Source organism: Homo sapiens, chromosome 7 (genome assembly GCF_000001405.40).
Source record: "Homo sapiens chromosome 7, GRCh38.p14 Primary Assembly".
Classification (NCBI taxonomy): Eukaryota; Metazoa; Chordata; class Mammalia; order Primates; family Hominidae; genus Homo; species Homo sapiens.
In genome coordinates this window covers 98,380,760-98,404,417 of record NC_000007.14, presented here as the reverse complement: position 1 = coordinate 98,404,417, position 23,658 = coordinate 98,380,760, and the positions used below count along the sequence as shown (strand labels likewise).

Genomic DNA, 23,658 nt, shown 5'->3' with positions numbered 1-23,658 from the left:
AGGATGGTCTCGATCTCCTGACCTTGTGATCCACCCGCCTCGGCCTCCCAAAGTGCTGGGATTACAGGCGTGAGCCACCGCGCCCAGCCTATTTTCAAGTTTCAATAAAAACCAACAGACATACTTGCAGAGCCGAATACATAATGGTAGAAATTATAAAGTCATGAATGCATCTCCCATATGGGAAGTGAAACCCAGTTGGCAAACCTCATGAACTAAATACTGTAAATCTGTTAAAGAAGAAGGCACCTGCTTCCATTGCCAGAAACTTGGGACTGATGTGTTATTTCCCCCTAACATCAGGAAGACATAACATTTTGGTTCCCAAGAATGGTAAGTTTTTTTTGTTTGCTTGTTTGTTTTGAGACAGAGTCTCACTCTCTTGCCCAGGCTGCAGTGCAGTGGCATGAGATCCCGGCTCACTGTAACCTCCGCCTCCCGGGTTCAAGCGCTTCTCCTGTCTCAGCCTCCCGAGTAGCTGGGACTACAGGTGCCTGCCACCACACCCGGCTAATTTTTGTATTTTTAGTAGAGACGGGGCTTCACCATATTGGTGAGGCTGATCTCTAACTCCTGACCCCAAGTGATCCACCCACCTTGGCCTCCCAAAGTGCTGGGATTACAGGCGTGAGCCGCTGTGCCTAGCTGCATGATGTGTTTTATAGTTTGCAAAACCCAATAAAACAGTCCCCAAGTCCAGGTGGTGGTTTCTGTTCTAAGTCCAGTGGTACTCACCCTCTTGATGTTCCCATCTGGGCCACACAGTGCCTTCATTGTGTATATTTCCTAGTGAACTTTATCACAAGATTAGTTTAGAAGTCTCACATCTTTCTTTTTTCTTTTCTTTTCTTTTTCTTTTTTTTTTTTTTTTGAGACAAATTTTCGCTCTTGTTGCCCAGGCTGGAGTGCAATGGCGTGATCTCACTCACCACAACCTCAGCCTCCCAGGTTCAAGTGATTCTCCTGCCTCAGCCTGCTGAGTAGCTGGGATTTAGGCATGCACCATCAAACCTGGTCAATGTTGTATTTTTAGTATAGACGGGGTTTCTCCATGTTGGTCAGGCTGGTCTCAAACTCCTGACCTCAGGTGATCTGCCTGCCTCAGTCTCCTAAAGTGCTGGCATTACAGGCGTGAGCCACTGCGCCTGGCCAGAAGTCTCACATCTTAACAGCCCATAAAAGATGCAATTGCACTCACATAGACGTTTTGGCATTTTTGTTTGTTTTTTGAAACAGAGTCTCACTCTGTGGCCCAAGCTGGAATGCAGTGGCACCATCACAGCTCACTGCAACCTCTTGGGCTCAAGCCATCCTCCTACCTCAGCCTCCGGAATAGCTGGGACTACAGATGCACACTATCACACTTGGCTAATGTTTTTAATTATATTTTTTGCAGAGATGGGGGTGGGCTCCCTATATTGCCTAGGCTGGCCTCGAACTCCTAGACTCAACCAGTCCTCCTGCCTTGGTCTCCCGAAGTGCTCGGATTACAGGCATGAGCCATCCTGCCTGGCCCCCAGATAGAAGCTTTTTGTTTGTTTGTTTTTGAGACAGAGTTTCGCTCTTGTCCCTCAGGCTGGAGTGCAGTGGTGCTATCTCAGCTCACTGCAATCTCTGCCTCCCAGGTTTAAGCAATTCTCCTGCCTCAGCCTCCCGAGTAGCTGAGATTACAGGTGCACGTGCTACCATGCCTGGCTAATTTTTGTATTTTTAGTAGAGACGGGGGCAGGGCGGTTTCACCATGTTGGCTAGGCTGGTCTCGAACTCCTGACCTCAAGTGATCCGCCTGCCTTGGCCTCCCAAAGTGCTAGGATTACAGGCATGAGCCACCAAGCCCAGAGGTTTTAAAAAATCAGAATAAGACCTCTGCCCTTGTTGGGTGCGGGTCTCAGGTAGCTAAATGGTGGTTCTTACTGGGGAGAAGGCTGTCACCCAGCCCAAGGTACATAATCCTGGAAGAGAGGCCCAAAGAAGGCAGCTGCCTCACCCTTGGGCAGGGCTGAGGCCGGGATGGAGACAAAATAGGGAGCCCAGGAGCCACACACCTCCACAGAGTTTGAGTGATGACAAGAAGAGAGGCTTCCCTAACACTTCAGCTCAGGTGGTTTTCTAAACCCTACAACAATCTCGTGAGTAGCATGGTTACACTGCATTGAGTTAAAGGTCGTTGTTAATGTAAAGTTTAAAAATGTACTACTGGGCCGGGCGCGGTGGTTCAAGCCTGTAATCCCAGCACTTTGGGAGGCTGAGCAGGGCGGATCACCTGAGGTTAGGAGCTCGGGACCAACCTGGCCAACATGGTGAAACCCCGTCTCTACTAAAAATACAAAAAAATTAGCCTGGCTTGGTGGCACGTGCACCTGTAATCTCAGCTACTCGAGAGGCTGAGGCAGGAGAATTGCTTAAACCTGGGGGGCAGAGATTGCAGCAAGCTGAGAGAGCACCACTGCACTCCAGCCTGAGGGGACAAGAGTGAAACTCTGTCTCAAAAACAAACAAAAAGCTTCTATCTGGGGGCCAGGCAGGATGGCTCATGCCAGGCAGGAGAATCGCTTGAACCTGGGAAGCGGAGGTTGCAGCAAGCTGAGATCGCACCACTGCACTCCAGCCTAGGCGACAGAGTGAGACTCCATCTCAAAAAAAAAAAAGTACTAACATTTCGGTAACTAGACCCTGGCATTTATTAATTTTTTGATATATCAGGAGCTTTCAAAACTGCAAGTGGCAGCCCGTTTTCTCCACCTAGGAGGGCCGATGCCCCCACGGGTCCCTCTAACTTTTGGGGTCAGTGAGCGGCGGGGCAAGAAGAGATCAATCAGGGAAATCAATACAACTGGGGAATGTGGCCCCTTCCCTTGGTCCCCAAAACGCAGGGCTTGAAGGAAGCCCTCATGGAGGAAGTGGGCCTCGGGGTCCCCGGGGCCAGCACCACGCGAGGCAAACAAGGGCTCCAGGACCACAGTCTAAACACCCCCAGGCTGCCCTTGCCCTAGCAAAACAGCAAAGCGAGCAGCCCACTCCACACCGGTCCCCACTCCAGGGTCTCGGGCCCTACGTCGCCGGAGCTCTGGGAGAGCCGCGAGGGGGCGCACCGTGGCCTCGCTGCCCTGTCCGCCACAGGTGGGGTGACCCCGCCCACTCGGGGGGCCCGCTTCCCTCTGGCCACGCCCATTCCAGCTGCCTGGCCCCGCCTCCTCCCCGCCCACCCCGGCCGGGCCCCGCTCACCAGGCCGCCTCAGGTGGGTACGCCACGCCCCTCCGGCCCTGCGGCCCCGCCCCCGTCTGCCCCGCCCGCCTCAGGTGGGGCCGCCCGGCCCGCCCAGCTTCCTCTGGCGGCGTCCGGCCGCTTCTCCTCTGCTCCTCGAAGAAGGCCAGGGCGGCGCTGCCGCAAGTTTTGACATTTTCGCAGCGGAGACGCGCGCGGGCACTCTCGGGCCGACGGCTGCGGCGGCGGCCGACCCTCCAGAGCCCCTTAGTCGCGCCCCGGCCCTCCCGCTGCCCGGAGTCCGGCGGCCACGAGGCCCAGCCGCGTCCTCCCGCGCTTGCTCGCCCGGCGGCCGCAGCCATGTCCCGGGGGCCCGAGGAGGTGAACCGGCTCACGGAGAGCACCTACCGGGTAAGCCCAGGGCCCGGGGCTCAGGGAGGTCAGGGCTTTCCACCTCGGGGTTCAGAAGGGGACTTTACGCGGGAAGGTACTTTCCCTCCCTCCAGCTCCCCTCCCCCGCGTCCTTCCACCTCTCCCGGTCTCTCCCACTCCTCCCCTGGCCCTCCACAGCCCCTCTTCTTCCTCCCCTGGCCCTCTCCTTCCTCCCAGTCCCTCCCCATCCCCTCCCCCCTACTTTTCCTCCTCCTTCCCTCCCCTCCTCCCTGTGCTTCTTCCCTGTCTCTCTTTCCCGCCCCGCTGTACCTCTCCCTCTGCCCCTCCGCTCCCCGTTCACTCTCCCTCCTCCCCTGCCCCTCGACACTGTCCCTCCCCTCCTCCTGGTTCTTCCTTCTCCCCCGTGTGTCTCCCCCTCCTCCCCTGTCCCTTCTTCTCCCCAGTCTATCCCCCTCCCTCCCCCTCCCCCTCCCCCTCCTCTTGGTTCTTCCTCCTTCCCCGTGTGTCTCCCCCTCCTCTCCTGGCCCTTCTCCGCCTCCCCTGTCCCTTCTCCTCCCCGTCCCTTCTCCTCTTCCCTGACCCTCAGAGCTCTGGAGACCACCCCCCATCCCCTGACCAGCTACACATTTTACAACTAGTGCACTTAAGTTGGGGAGGGGTCTGTTGTGCGTCGGTGGGGCCCACGTCCTCCTCCCAACTTCTTGGAATCAGTGACCCGTGCTGTCCTGGCTGCCGGGCTTAAGCCCTCCGGGACCAAAGACACAAGCTCGAGTTTCCTCTAAGAAAAGAAAGCGCCCAAGAATGTGGGGGTGAAACTCCCCTGTAATTAGGATCGCCAGGTGAGCCGAGCTCTGGGCGTTCTCCCGGGAAACGCCCTCCTCCTTAGACCCTTCCTCTCCCACCTTTCAGTTGAACTTGGCTTTTATATATGGGTTATTTGGTGAGGTTCTTGAAGTCAAAGAACAACCGAGGTTTTAATGAAATTGACCTAACCTTAAGGAATGCGTTGATAGCCGGTCTCTTAACTTGCATGTATTAGGAGAGAATTTTTCCAGACACAGACAGAGACTTAGGATTAGTGGCCTGTTTAGTTTACATACTTACAAATGAATTCCAGGTGAAATAAGATATCTGTTAATCATCTGCTATTAATAGAACACAAAACAACTTTTGTTTTAATTCAGCCTAGGCGCTTCGAACCCTTGAAACTTTAACGTTCTCTAAGTTCATGTATAGGCATGTTTAAGGTTATAAATAAATGGTTGGTCGGTTGGTTGGTTGGTGTGTTTTATCTTTTTTCTGTCCCTGGTGCTTGAATCAGGAAGTTTAGTCATTTTGATAGACTTTTTTAAACCTAAAATTTTAGTTTCTGGGTTTTCAAGGTCTGAATTCCTAAAATCAGAGGAGTCTATTAACTTTTGTTGAATGAAAGTAAGAGAAGAACATGAACATTTTTGTTATGTATTGAAATCCAAGAGATCCGTTCCGTTTATCTTAACACACAAAGTGTATACTGTCACATATAAATTATGCCTTACAGGTAGGGAGAGTAGACACAGTTGACACAGCGTTTTTGATGCTCAGTCACTGTGACCAAAAACTCTTCTATTCGTGTGTTGCCTTCATAGAGGGCGATCTTTAGAAATTTGAGAAATTCGAAATTTGAGAAATTCCTACATTTGTATTGAGATTGCTACTATTTAAATGACCCGGAAGACGTTGCTGCATGAGGTGTGGGGTACTGACCAAGTGTGTAAATAAAACGTTCTTTCTGCCAGACTCAGACCTGGAAAGTAAGTAGTGGCTGCTCTGTTGACTGTCAGTGAAGGAAAAACTGTGTAATTGAGGAAGGCAGGCCATTGCAAATTTGAGGCAGAGTCTGATGTCCACTGGGGTGCAAAAATACAGAACACCACTGCCTTCCGCCCTTCTTCCAAGAACAGCCCTGTGTATCTTCCCAGTCTGAGCTGCGATTGCAACTTGAGACCAGCAGTCAGGTGTTCTGAGTTAAACCCTGCTTTTTTTCTCCCGCTTCTTCCTGACGTAGACTTTTAGTAATAACTCCTTAGAGGGACCGTACCAAGGCGAATTGCAGCGTCACAAATGCCAACCACTTGGGCATGTCTTATTACCCAAAGAACGGAAACGGCAGGGAAAAAGTGTGGATTTCATCATTTTGGTTATACGTATTTGTAGACGTAAGGCACTGTAAATGGAGATCAAAGACCAGTACCTGATAGTTTTCCATTGCCAGGTGTCTGAAAGCAAACTGGAAAGCTCACTAAATGTTTGTTCGTTTTAATTACTATTTCCTTGTTAGTGTTTTGGGACCTTTTTTTTTTTTAATGTCCAGGTGGTAGGATATTTACAGCATCAGACTACAAGTTTATGTAATCTATGAAATAGTGAAGGCTGCTAGCCCATGCTTTGGCTTTGGCAGTGCAAAGTGAAATTTTAATTCAGGAGTCTGAAAAACCTTTTCCCGCCCCTGTATTGGGTTCTTCCCCCTATCCAGCCCTGCCCCATGATGTTCAAGCTGAAAACAGTTTAAGCTTAATATGGCAAAAATCTGGCAGTGTTGATGAATCTAGTGCTTTTAAGAAGAGATGTCCTCTATATTACCTAACCATCTACCATATTTTACTAATAGAAATGCAACACAACCAGGTGTGTTTACAAAAGCCACCTGCAAATGATTTTTTAATGACTTGCTAGTATGGGTTTTAGTTTTTTGTTTTTAAATACTCAGGTTTCTCCAATTATGAAATAAAGGAATACTTTAGAGAAAAGGAGGAATTATAAAGTAGAATGATCCTCTGTAGCCAATATCAAATATCCTTAAATATATGCTGTGTACACATTTGCTGAAATGTCTAAAATGTATACGTAGGCAAATGATTATGGGAGATCCATGCTAACTCCCAGGAGGATGTGTGTATTTTACTACTTCATAAACGATGTTATAAGCCCCAAAATGTCCAGTAATGTTGCTGTTACTAATTAGAGTTCAGCCAAAAATCCCTCCCCACTCCACACTTTATAGCATGCCCATAATTTGCCCTCAAAAGCTTGCTGTGATTTTGCATGGTTTTCTGATGAGTATATGCTCTCATGGTAGAAGAAGTAGTTCAAAAAAACCCTTAATTAAGAGCAGCCACAGCCTTCCTAGAACTGTTAAAGACTTAGGAAGTAGGGCCCGGCGCGGTGGCTCACGCCTGTAATCCCAGCACTTTGGGAGGCCAAGGTGGGCAGGCAGATCATGAGGTCAGGAGATCGAGACCGTCCTGGCCAACATGGTGAAACCCTGTCTCTACTGAAAATACAAAAATTAGCTGGGTGTGGTGGCGCGTGCCTGTAGTCCCAGCTACTCGGGAGGCTGAGGCAGGATAATCGCTTGAACCAGGGAGTTAGAGGTTGCAGTGAGCCAAGATGGCGCCACTGCACTCCAGCCTGGGCGACAGAGCGAGACTCCATCTCAAAAAAAAAAAAAAAAAAAAAAAAGGGCTTAAGAAGTGGAGGAAGAACGGGTGTGGCAGCATCGAGGGATGTCCTACCTACAGGAATCTTGCTAACAGAGTCAAAGGGGAGATATCACAGAAGCCTTTCAGTGTCACCTCAAGGAAGTATGCTCAGACTCTCAGATTGCAGACGCCTCCATCCATCTCCCAGCCCCACCTTAGACTACATTACCTTCCCCCATAACACTACCTTAGAATAGGCTATGTGATGTATTTATTTATGTTTCTTTCCCTCTCTTCCCACCCCAACTAGAATGTGAGCTCTACAAGGCAATGAGCTTTGTTTTTGTTTTTGTATTCCAAGCACTTAAAACAGTTCCTGGCACATAGTAGGCATGCATATTTGTTGAATGAATGGACATTTATCCATTTAATGTGTGAAGCACCTGTCCTTTGCTAGGCTCCTGGCGCCCTCCGATGATACTTTTCATAGAGTGCTTAATTCTAAGTAAACATCAGCCATCCAGGTGAATGTGGATTGTGTTGGCTTAACTATTTTTATTTATTTATTTTTGAGACAGGGTCTTGCTTTGTTGCTCAGGCTGGAGTGCAGTGGTGCAATCGCAGCTCTCTGCAACCTCCACCTCCCACTTTCGAGCAATTCTCCCACCTCAGCCTCCCGAGTAGCTGGGACTACAGCCGCCACGCCTGGCAAATTTTTGCATTTTTTGATAGAAGCAGGGTTTCACCATGTTGGCCAGGATAGTTGTTAACCAGGTTGAGAAACTGAGTCCTAGAGTCTCTTAGTGACCGGCTGCCACATCCCACTTACCATGCCTTTGTTTGTATGGTAATTTAGTTTCCAGTGACCAAAGATGCACAAACCGAATACATTTTCATAATGTGGCGATCTAAGGTGTCACTGGAATTTTCTGTCATTCTGTTAATTCATCATCATTGGCATGTTTTGAACAAACTCTCTTAATAAAATGAGGCTAGGAGCGGTGGCTCATGCCTGTAATCCCAGCACTTTGGGGGGTCAAGATAGGTGGATTGCTTGAGCCCAGGAGTTCGAGGCCAGCCTGGGTAATGTAGTGAGACCCTACCTCTACAAAGATACAAAAATTAGCCGGGTGTGGTGGTACGTGCCTGGGGTCCCAGCTCCTCAGTAGGCTGAGGTGGGAGGATCACTTGAGGCCAGGAGGCAGAGGTTGCAGTACTGAAATGGTGCCACTGTACTCTGGCCTGGGCAACAGAGTGAGACCCCATCTCAAGAAAAAATGATTATTTTTTGACTAAAAACTGTGTGGAATGTTGAAGAAAATAAAAATCCAATTTGTTTTAATTCCATGCACATTAGGTTTCCCTTGGAGGTCTGTGCAAGACAAGAATTAATACCCAAAACTGAAATAGTGTCACAAATGTAAATCAAAAGCTACAGGCATGTAGCTGGGACCACATGCACCGCCATGCCCGGCTAATTTTTTATTTTTGGTAGAGATGGTGTCTCACTGTGTTGCCCAGGCTGGTCACGCACTCCTGAGCTCAAGTAATCTGCCTGCCTCGGCTTCCCAAAGTGCTGGGATTACAGGCCTGTATTCAAAGCTGTAATAATTCCAACTCAATATTCCAGCTTAAAAATAAGTTATAAAAGCTGCATAAAATTTAGTTTAACTTATCTGCTGACACATGCAAATATATTTTAAAATTTGTTTTTAAAACTTTTTATTGAATAGCAATATACATAAAGTTGTGCTTAAGTATACATAGCTCACTAAATTGTCACAAACTGAACACACCTGTGTAACCACCACCCAGATCAAGGAGCAAACCATGGCCACTCCCTGAAGTCCCCCTCGTGCCACCTCCCAGTCGCTGCACCCCTCCAAGGGTAGCCCCTCTCCTAACTTTTTTTTTTTTTTTTTGAGACAGTCTTGCTCTGTCGCCCAGGCTGGGGTGCAGTGGCTCAGTCTTGGCTCACTGCAACCTCCACCTCCCAGGTTCAAGCGATTCTCCTCCCTCAGACTCCTGAGTAGTTGGGATTACAGGCTTATGCCACCATGCCCAGCTAATTTTTGTATTTTTTAGTAGAGATCGGGTTTCACCATGTTGGTCAGGCTGGTCTCGAACTCCTGACCTCGTGATCCACCCACCTCGGCCTCCCAAAGTTCTGGGCTTACAGGCATGAGCCACCACACCTGGCTGGGATTATTTTCTTTCTTTCTTTGGTTTTGTTTTGTTTTGTTTTTTTGAGACGGAGTCTTGCTCTGTCACCCAGGCTCAAGTGCAGTGGTGTGATCTCGGCTCATTACAACCCTTGCCTCCCGGGTTCAAGCGATTCTCCTGTCTCAGCCTCCCGAGTAGCTGGGGTTACAGGTACCTGCCACCACGCTGGCTAATTTTTGTATTTTTAGTGGAGACAGGGTTTCACCATGTTGGCCAGGCTGGTCTCGAACTCCCGACCTCAGGTGATCCGCCTGCCTCGGCTTCCCAAAGTGCTGGGATTGCAGGCGTGAGCCACTGTGCCCAGCTGGGATTATGTTCAGACTATTCCAAGATATTATGAGTCGTGCTTTATGAATGTTCTGGCTCACGTCTGATGGCCATAGGCCCTCATTTCTCTTGGATAGAGACACAGGAGCAGACTGGCTGAGTATTAGACATTCAAATATTTTGCTTTAGGAGAAACTGCTGATTGATTTTCCACAGTGACGCACCAGTTGCCATTCCACCAGCAGAGTATGAGAGTTCCAGTTGCTCTTCATCCTTGCCAGCTGCTGCTATTTCCCATCCTTTTAATTTTTGCCATTCCTGTGGGTATGTGCAAAAAAATTTTAAAGTAAACACAAACAAAATCGTTTGTTCCAGGCCTGCTGATGATCTGCCGTTTCTCTGTAGGGTGTATGTAACCTTGGCAGGGAGCCCTGTGGGAAATCCTTCATGTCAGAAGACAAACCAAGACCTAGGAAATTCTGGTCTGAGAGGCCATACAGTTGTGGTAGTCACTAGAGGAAGACATAAACTGAAGTTCATTAGACTCTAAAACTATCATAACTGCATGCATGAAAGGGATTTTTTGTTTGTTTTATGTGTGGGTTTTTTTGTTTGTTTGTTTGTTTTTGAGACGGAGTCTCCCTGTCGCCCAGGCTGGAGTGCAGTGGCGAGATCTCTGCTCACTGCAAGCTCCGCCTCCTGGGTTCATGCCATTCTCCTGTCTCAGCCTCCCGAGTAGCTGGGACTACAGGCGCCTGCCACCACGCCCGGCTAATTTTTTGTATTTTTAGTAGAGATGGGTTTTCACCGTGTTAGCCAGGATGGTCTCCATCTCCTGACCTCATGATCTGCCTGCCTACCTTGGCCTCCCAAAGTGCTGGGATTACAGGCGTGAGCCACCGCGCCTGGCCTAATTTTTATATTTTTAGTAGAGATGGGGTTTCACCATGTTGTTCAGGCTGGTCTCGAACTCCCGACTTCAGGTGATCCGCCCGCCTCGGCCTCCCAAAGTGCTGGGATTACAGGCATGAGCCCCTCACTGCGCCTGGTCCAAAGTAGGTACATTTTCAAGAAAAGTTACATAAACCAGGCGCGGTGGCTCACGTCTGTAATCCCAGCACTTTGGGAGGCCGAGGCGGGCGGATTGCGAAGTCAGGAGATCAAGACCACAGTGAAACCCCGTCTCTACTAAAAATACAAAAAATTATCCAGGCGCGGTGGCGGGAGGCTGTAGTCCCAGCTACTCGGGAGGCTGAGGCGGGAGAATGGCGTGAACCCAGGAGGCGGAGCTTGCAGTGAGCTGAGATCATGCCACTGCACTCCAGCCTGGGCGACAGAGGGAGACTCCGTCTCAAAAAAAAATAAATAAATAGAAAAGTTACATAAAAAGAAAAGGAAGGTATTTTCATTAATATTTAATTAACAAGAAAATGCAGTTAACCATAACTTTGCACCCCACTCCGAGCTCCAGTTTAAATAGGGTTCATCTGTGCTTTCAACATCCCTTATGTAATAAAACCCTTTCATGGCCGGGTGCAGTGGCTCACACCTGTAATCCCAGCACTGTGGGAGGCCGAGGAGGATGGATCACCTGAGGTCAGGAGTTTGAGACCAGCCTAGCCAACATGGCGAAACCCCATCTCTACCAAAAATACAAAAATTACATATATATATAAACACACACATATATGTATATATATACATATATGTGTACATATATATGTACACATATGTGTGTATATATACATATATGTGTACATATATGTACACGTATATATGTATATATGTGTGTGTATACATATATGTGTACATATATGTACACGTATATATGTATATATATGTGTGTATGTATATATATACACAAAAATTACAAAAATTACATATATATATCTATATATATAAATAAAAATCAGCTGGGCGTGGTGGCGGGTGCCTGTAATTCCAGCTACTCGGGATGCTGAGGCAGGAGAATTGCCTGAACCTGGGAGGCGGAGGTTGCAGTGAGCTGAGACTGCACCACTGTACTCCAGCCTGGGTGGCAGCAAGAATCTGTCTCAAAAAGAACAAGAAGTGTAAATAAGTGTGCCCAGAATCCTGCAAACCAGAGATAACACTAACTATTGCTGTCGCTTTTTCTGATACTTTTCCGTACATATCCCCATGTCAGTTTTCTGTGCTCTATCATTTTGATGACTGCACAGGACTCCATTTTTCATCATAATTTATTGATCAGCCCCTGTGGTTGGACATAGATCATTGCCAGTACTTTGCTATTACAGCTCAGCCATGGGCATGGTTGCAGTCAAAGCTTTGCACAGATCTGTAAGCAGATCCATGATGTTTTCCTTAAGCCACATTCCCAGAAGGGAGCTCTGGGTCAAAGGGCAGGTACATTTTAAAGCCTGTTTGCTCCACATTGCAAAATGCCCTCCAGAAAGCATGCACCAAATGATGCTGTTGTCTGCATGGTGTGAGAGTGCGCCTTTCCCTGAACTCTAGCCAGTTAGGTAGACTTCTTTTTTGAAACGGAGGTTCACTCTTGTTCGCCCAGGCTGGAGTGAAATGGCGCGATCTCAGCTTACTGCAACCTCCGCCTCCCAGGTTCAAGCGATTCTCCTGCCTCAGCCTCCCTTAGTAGCTGGGATTACAGGCACCCGCCACCACACCCAGCTAAGGTAGACTTTTTTTTTTTTTTTTTTTTAGCGAGGGGGTCTTGCTACATTGCCCAGGCTGACCTAGAACTCCTGGGCTCCAGTGATCCTACCTCAGCCTCCCAAGTAACAGGGACTACAGTCGTGCACCGTCGTTCCCAGCTCAATTAAGTAGATCTTTTAAAACCACTTCCTTTTTAATAACACATAGAAGGGATGTGTGTGTGTTTTCAGTATTTAAGCATGTGTACCATATAGAATATGGACATTGGCCAGAACACCTACGATTTCATGCCTATTAATAACTAGGCATACTTTTCCCCATAAACTTAGAACTTGTAGATATGTGCAGAGTAATTACAGCTCTGTGACCTTTCAGACGTTAGATTTCTGTTTTTATTTTCCTCAGCCTTGATTTTATACTTCTGTTTGTCTTCCTAACCTTGAGTCCTTCTGGTTTATCATGATTTTAGTGACTTGAGTTTTAGATTTTTTTTTTTTTTTTTTTTGAGACGGAGTCTCACTCTGTCGCCCAGGCTGGAGTGCAGTGGCACGATCTCGGCTCACAACGTCCACCTCCCAAGTTCATGCCATTCTCCTGCCTCAGCCTCCCGAGTAACTGGGACTACAGGTGCCCGCCACCATGCCCGGCTAATTTTTTTTTGTATTTTTAGTAGAGTCAGGGTTTCCCTCTGTTAGCCAGGACGGTCTCTGTCTCCTGACCTTGTGATCCGCCTGCCTCATCCTCCCAAAAGTGTTGGGATTACAGGCGTGAGCCACTGTGCCTGGCCAAGTTTTAGATTTTAATGGTTTTAGTTCCTGGTGTAACAGCTGCCTGAAGTCTTTGTGGATAAAAGTGAGATGCATATAAATGAGATAAAATGTTGCCGGTTTCTCTTTCTTTAAAAAATAGAAGAAAAAATATTACCAGAATGAGTTCCCAAACCAGGGAGCAGAATAGATGAGCCCAAGTCAGAGATCTAACCAGTATTTCACCTCCTAGAGTGCTTGTGCTTTTGAGAGAACAGCAGGTGGGTGAAGATGCCCCCAGATTTCCTGCTTAAACTGTGTTTATGGGCCGGGCACAGTGGCTCACGCCTGTAATCCCAGCACTTTGGGAGGCCGAGGCGGGCAGATCATGAGGTCAAGAGATCGAGACCATCCTGGCCAACATGGTGAAACCCCATTTCTACTAAAAATACAAAAAAAAAAAAAAATTAGCTGGGTGTGGTGGAGTGCGCCTGTAGTCCCAGCTACTCCAGAGGCTGAGGCAGGATCGCTTGAACCGGGGAGGCAAAGGTAGCAGTGAGCTGAAATCACGCCACCGCACTCTAGCCTGGCAACAGAGCGAGAGACTGTCTCAAAACAAAAAAACTTGTGTTTATTCATATGGTACTTTGGAGGCTAAAAAGTCCCTAAACAATATCAATTAAGCACTAGTTAACTCTAGGGCAGGAGTTTTTGGTTTTGTTTTTTGTTTTTTTTTGAGACAGAGTCTTGCTCTGTCACCCAGGCTGTAGTGCAGTGGCGCAATCTTGGCTCACTGCAAGCTCTGCCTCCCAGGTTCACGCCATTCTCCTGCCTCAGCCTCCTGAGTAGCTGGGACTGCAGGCACCCACCACCATGCCTGGCTAATTTTGTTTTTGTATTTTTAATAGAGACGGGGTTTCACCGTGTTAGCCAAGATGGTCTCGATCTCCTGACCTTGTGATCCGCCCGCCTCGGCCTCCCAAAGTGCTGGGATTACAGGCGTGAGCCACTGCACCCGGCCATATTTATATTTTTTAATGTAAATTGCTTACTTTTATAATATTTAATGTAAAGCAGATAAATATATATATTCCGTTTTAATGGACATAATGTTTTTAAAACTAAGCTAAAATTCGCCATCTCCTACCTCTGTTTGCAAATTACCCATTTAAAGATAAACCTAATTTTAAATCTTATGATTTCTGTCTTGATTTTTACGTATGGGAATACATGTTTAACATTTACTAACCCGAGACCGGGCGCAGTGGCTCATGCCTGTAATCCCAGCACTTTGGGAGGCCGAGGTGGGCAGATCACGAGGTCAGGAGATAGAGACCATCCTGGCTAACATGGTGAAACCCCATTTCTACTAAAAATACACAAAATTAGCCGGGTGCGGTGGCGGGTGCCTGTAGTCCCAGCTACTCGGGAGGCTGAAGCAGGAGAATGGTGTGAACCCGGGAGGCGGAGCTTGCAGTGAGCCAAGATCCCGCCACTGCACTCCAGCCTGGGCGACAGTGCGAGACTACCTCTCAAAAAAAAAAAAAAATTTACTAACCCAAGACTACACGTGCAACAGGCAACTAGCTGAACAAAATTGAAAATACTCAAATTCCAGTTCTTAAAACTGCCTTTTAAAAGTCAAGACTTTACTTTCAGGGGTCATTTCTATAGTTTGTTCAGAAGTTTCTCTGAATGTGTAGAGCAAAAAGTCATTTCTTATGTTGCAAGCAGTTAAAAGCATGGCTGTATCTTTGAAAGGCACAAAAGCAGGTGACAACAGGGACAAGAAGAGGTACAAGCGTGGTAATAACCTGTCAAAAGTATGGGGGAAATCTCAGATGATTAAAATATAAGGCCTCCTCATGCCCGTAATCCCAGCAGTTTCGGAGGCTGACACGGGCGGATCACCTGAGGTCAGGAGTTTGAAACCAGCTTGGCCAACATGGTGAAACCCCGTCTCTACTAAAAATACAAAAAAATCAGCCGGGCATGGTGGTGGGTACCTGTAATTCCAGCTACTTGGGAGGCTGAAGCAGGAGAATTGCTTGAACCTGGGAGGCGGAGGTTGCAGTGAGCTCAGATGGTGCCACTGCACTCCAGCCTGGGTGACAGAGTGAGACTCTGTCTCAAAAAAAATAAAAAATAAGGCCTCGAACAAATGTGCAGAAAAGATTGGGGTAGGGGTTGGAATAGGTCCCAGATGACAGATCCAACCACCAGCTACCCTAATCCAGCAGCCCCATGCTGAGTTAGGAGGAGGGAAGCCCCTGCCTGTTGGGGGAGGGGAGAGGAGTACAGAAGACAGGGCCCCCTGTCACCTTCACATGCCTGTCTGACACAATTGCCTGAGTCTTAGTTAATAGACCAATCTGTTTCTGGCCACAAAAACCTCAGGTGACAAATCAGGAAAGTCACAATGATAATTCCTCATACTTAGGGGCCAGGATTTTTTGGATAAAACTTGAATGGTTTGTTTTTTGTTTTTTTTTTTTAATTTCTTAGGGTCTCTGTTGTCCAGGCTGGAGTGCAGTGGTGTGATCATGGCTCACTGCAGCCTCAACGTCCCAGGCTAAAGCGTTCCTCCTGCCTCAGCCTCCCAAGTAGCTGGGACTACAGGCACGTGCCGCCAAGTCTGACTAATTTTTATGTTTTTCATAGAGACAGGGTTTCACTATGCTGCCCAGGCTGGTCTTGAACTCCTGGGCTCAAGCCGTCTGCCTGCATCGGTCTCCCAAAGTGCTGGGATTACAGATGTGAGCCACTGCATCTGGCCCAGTTGTGATTATTTAATGGACTAAATGGTATGTCTCATCATAGCATGGGCTTATGTTACACTTTGAGCAGCTTAAGATACAGGACATCAGTTATGTCTGACAGTACAATATGTGACTGAACAATAAATGCAGGAACAATATGCCTGTAAACCAAAAAGTTTAAACATGCAAAACATGGGTTTGTTTTGTTTTGTTTTTGAGAGGGAGTCTCGCCCTGTCACTCAGGCTGGAGTGCAGTGGTGCGATCTCGGCTCACTGCAACCTCCACTTCCCGGGTTGAAGCGATTCTCCTGCCTTGGCCTCCCGAGTAGCCGGGATTACAGGCATCTGCTTAGAGACTCAGTCTTACTCTTATGCCCTCTGAGAAGGCTTCTTCAGCTAACCAGTGCATCCTTTGTGTCATCCCCGATGGTTGTATGTACTTGATAATGCCCTATTCTTTCATTTGATGTGCTTTAGTCTGTAAATAAGGATGATAATAGCTCCTAGGGTTGCTGTGAAGATTAAACGCAGTCATACATGAAAGCTCTTAGAATAGCATCTGGCGCATCGTAGGTATTCAATTAGGGCTAACTGTTAGTAGGCATAGCGTGTGTTTACTAGACTGTCACTCCCCACCCCCACCAAGAGCATTGATTTTCATCTGTTTATTACCTGCCTCCTTATTTACAAATGACTGAAATAGGTGGAGCTGAGTAAATACCTGATAAGAGAATAGTGTTGAAAATATTGGCACACATTTTTATCTCCCTGAAGGAGCTATATGGTCCTTGAAGGTTTTTTTGGTTGTTGGTTTCTGTTGTTGTTGTTTTGTTTTGTTTTGAGACAGGGTCTTAACTCTGTCGCCCAGGCTGGAGTGAAATGGCACAATCATAGCTTATTGCAGCCTCCAACTCCTAGGCTCAAGCAAATTCTCCTGCCCCAGCCTTCTGAGTGGCTGGGACTACAGGCGTGCACCACCACGCCCAGCTAATTTTTTTTTTTTTTCTTGTAGAGACAGGGCCTGCCTCACTTTGTTGGCCAGGCTGGTCTCGAACTCCTGGGCTCAAGCAGTCCTCCCACCTCAGCCTCCCAAAGTGCTGGGATTAAAGGCATGAGCCACTGCATCCAGCCCTTGAAGGTTTATTTAATCCCTTATCGTGGTGGCGCATAGTAAGAACTCAAGAATTTTGTGTTTTAAATGCTGAAGACCTGTGCTGATCACACAGGGGTGACTGAAATCATCACCAACTCTTTGGTGGCACTGAGATCGTGTCAGTAATAACAACTGCCATGTTGTGAGCACCTGTTAGGTACGGGCTGAGCTTTTACCACCAACATGAGTTCTTCCCGCAGCTGTTTTCTTGAGCACCACAGCTGTGCCAAGCACCATGGTTACCACCAGAAACCACGCTGGAGAAAAGACAAAGAAGGTCTGTGCCCATCCAGAGTTTATAGCTGTGACAGGACAGCAACCCCAAGTTCTAGTAGCCGCAGCCCCTCTCCTCCGCCTGGACCTGCCCATGTCGTAAATTAAACATCCTTGCTCCTTCCCTACCCTCTGTCCCAGCGGGGGCTGGCCTTTACAACTTCAATATTTGGACTTGGTTTTGTCTCAATATGGGAAGAAAGAAGGAAAAGCTTAATACGCGTGTAGGTTAAGTTTGAGAGGAGTTTTAAGGCGATGTACAGTCTTTAAGGAAGTCTTTGGAAGGCCAGGCACGGTGGCTCACGCCTGTAATCCCAGCACTTTGGGAGGCCGAGGCGGGCAGATCACGAAGTCAAGAGATCAAGACCATCCTGGCCAACACGGTGAAACCCCGTCTCTACTAAAAATACAAAAAATTAGTTGGGTGCAGTGGCGGGCGCCTGTAGTCCCAGCTACTCGGGAGGCTGAGGCAGGAGAATCACTTGAAACCTGGAGGCAGAGGTTGCAGTGAGCTGAAGTGGCACCACTGCACTCCAGCCTGGCGACAGAGCGAGACTCTGTCACCAAAAAAAAAAAAAAAAAAAAAAAACCTTTGGAAAGTTGAATATAGGAGAGAAGTCGATGAGAGACAAAAAAAAGTTCTCGGAAAGAACATTGTAGAAATGTTGATTCCTGCTTTTGGCTCTCTGACCAGCACCATGGCGGTTGGCAAGAACAAGCGCCTTACGAAAGGCGGCAAAAAGGGAGCCAAGAAGAAAGTGGTTGATCCATTTTCTAAGAAAGATTGGTATGATGTGAAAGCACCTGCTATGTTCAGTATAAGAAATATTGGAAAGACGCTCGTCACCAGGACCCAAGGAACCAAAATTGCATCTGATGGTCTCAAGGGTCGTGTGTTTGAAGTGAGTCTTGCTGATTTGCAGAATGATGAAGTTGCATTTAGAAAATTCAGGCTGATTACTGAAGATGTTCAGGGTAAAAACTGCCTAACTTCCATGGCATGGATCTTACCCGTGACAAAATGTGTTCCATGGTCAAAAAATGGCAGACAATGATTGAAGCTCACGTTGATGTCAAGACTACCGATGGTTACTTGCTTCGTCTGTTCTGTGTTGGTTTTACTAAAAAACGCAACAATCAGATACGGAAGACCTCTTATGCTCAGCACCAACAGGTCCGCCAAATCCGGAAGAAGATGATCGAAATCATGACCCGAGAGGTGCAGACAAATGACTTGAAAGAAGTGGTCAATAAATTGATTCCAGACAGCATTGGAAAAGACATAGAAAAGGCTTGCCAGTCTATTTATCCTCTCCATGATGTCTTCGTTAGAAAAGTAAAAATGCTGAAGAAGCCCAAGTTTGAATTGGGAAAGCTCATGGAGCTTCATGGTGAAGGCAGTAGTTCTGGAAAAGCCACTGGGGACGAGACAGGTGCTAAAGTTGAACGAGCTGATGGATATGAACCACCAGTCCAAGAATCTGTTTAAAGTTCAGACTTCAAATAGTGGCAAATAAAGAGTGCTATTTGTGAAAAAAAAAACAACAAAAAAAAGAAATGTTGATTCCTGGCTGGGTGTGGGGGCTCCTGCCTATAATCCCAGCACTTTGGGAGGCTGAAGCAGGCAGCTTGCTTGAGGTCAGGAGTTCGAGACCAGCCTGGACAACATAGTGAAACCCCATGTCTACGAAAAAAACAAAAAAATTAACTGGGCATGGGGGCGTGTGGCTGTAATCCCAGCTACTCTGGAGGCTGAATCGCTTGAGTCCGGGAGGTCGAGGCTGCAGTGAGCAGAGATTGCGCCACTGCACTCCAGCCTGGGCAACACAGCAAGAACCTGTCTCAAAAGAAAAAGAAATGATTTCCCCTTACTGGTATCTGAGAAATAAAAGTAAAGAATTTAAACTGTTTTTAAATCATTTGGAGTTTTTGAACAATTCCTCAGATCGCAAAGGCCGCAATTTTATTTTATTTGAGACAGAATCTCGCTCTGTCACCCAGGCTGGAGTGCAGTTGGCACAGTCTTGGCTCACTGCAGCCTCCGCCTCCTGGGTTCAAATAATCCTCCCACCTCTGCCTCCTGAGTAGCTGGGATTACAGGTCCCTGCCACCATGCCTGGCTAATTTTTGTATTTTTAGTAGAGATGGGGTTTCACCATGTTGGCCAGGCTGGTCTTGAATTCCTGGCCTCAAGTGATCTGCCCACTTCAGCCTCCCAGAGTGCTGGAATTATAGGCATGAACCACTGCACCCACCCAGCTGCGATTTTAAGACAATAGAATGAGGTTGATTGCCGTGGCTCATGCCTGTAATCCCAGCACTTTGGGTGGCCAAGGTGGTTGGATCACCTGAGTTCGGGAGTTCAGCACCAGCCTGGCCAACATGGCAAAATCCCATCTTTACTAAAAATACAAACATTACCCAGGCGTGGTGGCGGGCACCTGTAAACCCAGCTACTTGGGAGGCTGAGGCAGGAGAATCGCTTGAACCTGGGAGGCCGAGGTTGCAGTGAGCCGAGATCGTGCCACCTACGCTCCAGCCTGGGCAACAGAGCGAGACTCCATCTCACAAAAAAAAAAAAAAAAAAAAGGTAGAATGATCTGTCTCACAGAGTCTGGTTGAAGGAAGTTAGCTAGAATGATTCCAGATACTACTATAAAAGTAGCATTTGGAAAGAACTAGTGCAGTAAGTCAGTGTACTTTGATCCGATAAAGTTCCTGTTACCTGTTCAGTGCTCTGGGGCTTTCTAAACAACGTAACCCAGTGCATAAGATGTCCTTTCCTGTAAATTTATTGATTGCTTTTTTATTCCAGGACACACCTTTTAAAAACAGTAACTAGGCAGGCAAGAGCACTTAGTCAAACAGCCTAGTATACTCTGTGGTCTTCAAAGTATGTATCTTTTAACAGCTATTTCAGAATCAGTAACTAATCAGTTACTGGTCCTTAATACATGCCATTTATCTGTAGTTTTATATTTCTAAATGATAACGTAATATTTCAGGTGTTTGCATTTCTTATTTTCACCACGTCTCTGTGAATTGCCTTGGTATTTCTTTGTACCTGTTTCCGTGTAAGACGGTACATTTCCAAGGACTGGAGCTCTTTCTTTTTTTTTTTTTTTTCTGAGACGGAGTTTCACTCTTGTTGCCCAGGCTGGATTGCAATGGTGCGATCTCGGCTCACTGCAATCTCCGCCTCCCAGGTTCACGTGATTCTCCTGCCTCAGCCTCCTGAGTAGCTGGGATTACAGGCACGTGCCACCACGCCCAGCTAATTTTTGTATTTTTAGTAGAGACAGGGTTTCACCTTGTTGGCCAGGCTGGTCTCAAACTCCTGACCTCAGGTGATCTGCCCGCCTCAGCCTCCCAAAATGCTGGGATTACAGGCGTGAGCCACCACACCCGGCCTGGAGCTCTTTCTTCATTCATCTTTGTGTTTCCTGGGTCCAGGATGGGGTGGGCTCAACGTAGGCATAATAATAAATGTTGCAGAAATGTGTAGATTTTTATGTGTTTGAAAGCCTGAAATGTGAGACTTTACAGAGTTGGTGGAATGAAACGTAAGTACACACATTCACATGTTACTTCTCTGTCTCTCCCACACATGCACAAACTTACACAAAGAGGAGATCCCAGAAAAGAGGCACATTTTCAGATTCTGGTTGAAATGTTACTTTTAAGACTGAAAGTTATGGCCGGGCGCAGTGGCTCACGCCTGTAATCCCAGCACTTTGGGAGGCCGAGGTGGGTGGATCACCTGAGGTCTGGAGTTCGAGACCAGCCTGACCAACATGGAGAAACCCCGTCTCTACTAAAAATACAAAAATAATTAGCCAAGCGTGGTGGCGCATGCCTGGAATCCCAGCTGCTCGGGAGGCTGAGGCAGGAGAATCGCTTGAACCAGGGAAGCAGAGGTTGTGGTGAGCCAAGATCGCACCATTGCACTCCAGCCTGGTCAACAAGAAGGAAATTCTGTCTGAAAAAAAAAAAAAAAAAGATTGAAAGTTATATTACATGGTAGTCATCTTGGTATAGCAGCTTAGAATAGGAAGGATTGTGTTTCCATTCTTTCTTTTCTTTTCTTTTTTTTGTTTGTTTGTTTCTTTTTTGATACTTTGAGACAGAGTCTTGGTCTCTTGCCCAGGCTGGAGTGTGGTGGCGCCATCTCAGCTCATTGCAGCCTCCGCCTCCTGGGTTCAAGTGATTCTCCTGCCTCACCCTCCCAAGTAGCTGGGATTACAGGCACGTGCTACCATGCTTGGCTAATTTTTTGTATTTTTAGTAGAGACAGGGTTTCGCCATGTTGGTCAGGCTGGTCTCGAACTCCTGACCTCAGGTTTCATTCTTTCAAATAAGAACATGTACCTCTAAGAACAAAGCAAACGTGGATACTGGTATTATCCTAGTAGGAATTTGAAGAAATGATTTTTACTTCAGTCTTATAGGCATTACTTATTCCCTATGAAGTTCAGAATTTAAAACCTGCTTGAATTCTGGGGCAGGGTTCCACAATCCCTCATCTGATGGAGGCCGGTGTGGACGAGACATTGTTCCAAAGTTTGATAGCTTGCTAATTGCCAAAGCTTCAACCTGAACGCTTTCCTGGCATTGCCAAGAAATAAACATAACTATATAGAGTTATGGTATCTGTGGACCTTAAACCCAGTATAATCATCCACACTTAAACTACAAAGGAAAGTGATTTTGAACCATTCCATTCATAGGCAAATGTAAAACCTTTGTCTAGTAATTAAAATAGAATGAAATTTTCTAGTCTTTTTTTAAATTTTATTTTTTGTAGAGACACAGTCTCCCTGTGTTGCTTAGGCTGGTTTCAAACTCCTGGCCTCAAGCAATCCTCCTGCCTTGGCTTCCCAAAGTGCTGGGATTACAGGCGTGAGCCACTGTACCTGGCTGAAATTTTCTAATCTTGAACTAGGTTAAAGACCATTATTTTTTCCTTCAAGTTACCTTCTCAGATGGGCTGAGCTCAGTTTTCCTGTACATTGTTCTCCCTCCCCACTCTTTTTTCAAATTAACAATTGAAAACCTAGATTTTGGCTGGGCACGGTTGCTCACGCCTATAACCCAGCACTTTGGGAGGCTGAGGCAGGCGGATCACGAGGTCAGGAGATCGAGACCATCCTGACTAACACGGTGAAACTCCCTCTCTACTGAAAATACAAAAAAGCCGGGCGTGGTGGCAGGCGCCTGTAGTCCCAGCTACTCAGGAGGCTGAGGCAGGAGAATGGCGTGAACTCAGGAGGTGGAACTTGCAGTGAGCCGAGATATCGCCACTGCACTCCAACCTGGGTGACAGAGCGAGACTCCATCTCAAAAAAAAAAAAAAACCCTTAGATTTTTACCCTAATGTGGGTGGGGGTAGCTCTGGGACTTAATTTTCTTAACGGGCTTGATACTTTTGTCCAGAAGATGTGAACAGTTGTAGGACATCCTTCTTTCTTACCTCAGTGTATTGGGGCCATTTTTTGGCTTAATTATGCTTTAGCTGCAGAATAATTCTTGCTGCCTAAGTGAGTAGGGAGTAGGAAGCCAAGAGTTTGTCACAGAAATCTGTCTCTTTAAGCAACTGAATGAAAGGTCACAGCAACGTGATTGCGTCTAGTAATATATCAGAAGAAGCAGCGGTGCATGTCTTTCAGTGATCACACTGGTCCCAATTGCTTGGTTGGCCTTAGAGAGCTCAGGCTCTCATAGGTGCTCCCAGGACTCTGAGAATATTCTTCTATGACAGGCTAAGCCCAAAGACTGTACCTGCACGCCCAGTGGAGGCTCAGGCCACGTTGCTAGGGATGGGGCCTGGTAAGCCTGCAGGCCTCTTGGCTTCCTTTCTGCTATGACCTTTGCACCTGGAAGGACAATCTTTGTAGCAATAATTCTGTAAAAACCAAAACCTAGATTGTGGGTGAAGATGGGAAAGGAAGAATGAAGGCAAAACAATGATTATGTCATAATGAAATTCTCACGGAGAGTTTTCTCCATGCGCTGAAGATTTCCTAGGAAACCCCGCCTTTTAGAAGGACACAGTAAGGACTTTTGCCTGGAAAAACATTTGCCAAACTCCCTACCCAATCATAGCTGGAAAAACAACTGCTACGCCAGCCGGAGATCTGCCTCAAAACAGCTGGGTTATCATTTTCTACTAATGGGTCAAATTGATTTTCACCCTAGAAGGGGAAATGGCTGTGGACGGCTCCATAGGCATAAATGCTTTGCAGACCAGTGGTGCGTGTCCAGCTGTCTGGGACCCATGTTCCCAAAGGACGGGGGATGACCTGTGCGTCTCAGTATGCTGGGCTGTGCTGTGGGCAGGCTAGTTAGAGACCACCAAAGAATGAGCAAAGGCATACACATCTTTGTGGCCATTCCATAACATTAGGGATTTAGATCCCTGAATCCTTAGCAGCCTGTAATGGAAGAAGGGGTGGGGCGGGGGTTGGGTGGTTGGGTGGTGGCGATGGTGGTGGTGGTAGTGGCGGTGGTGGTGGTTCCTTTTTTT

The 23,658-nt window shown here is 47.1% G+C and overlaps 1 protein-coding gene and 2 pseudogenes across 1 annotated transcript in view, besides 1 other annotated feature; all 3 read left to right on the top strand.

Moving 5' to 3' along the window:
• Positions 2,995-3,654: a silencer, noted in NCBI's record as "silent region_18395". NCBI's record gives its function as "represses an Ori minimal core promoter by ATAC-STARR-seq in GM12878 lymphoblastoid cells {active_cell/tissue: GM12878}" and the evidence as "EXISTENCE:reporter gene assay evidence [ECO:0000049][PMID:35858748]".
• The window catches only part of BAIAP2L1 (BAR/IMD domain containing adaptor protein 2 like 1), a 109,441-nt gene continuing 89,110 nt past the window's right edge, over positions 3,328-23,658 (top strand). Inside the window, exon 1 of the mRNA NM_018842.5 lies at positions 3,328-3,616. Within this exon, the coding sequence (NP_061330.2) occupies positions 3,566-3,616 (51 nt within the window). The 5' untranslated portion in view covers positions 3,328-3,565. The remainder of the gene's footprint in view (positions 3,617-23,658) is intronic.
• LOC124901862 (uncharacterized) lies at positions 14,594-14,663 on the top strand (annotated as a pseudogene).
• On the top strand, positions 17,811-18,668 carry RPS3AP26 (RPS3A pseudogene 26; annotated as a pseudogene).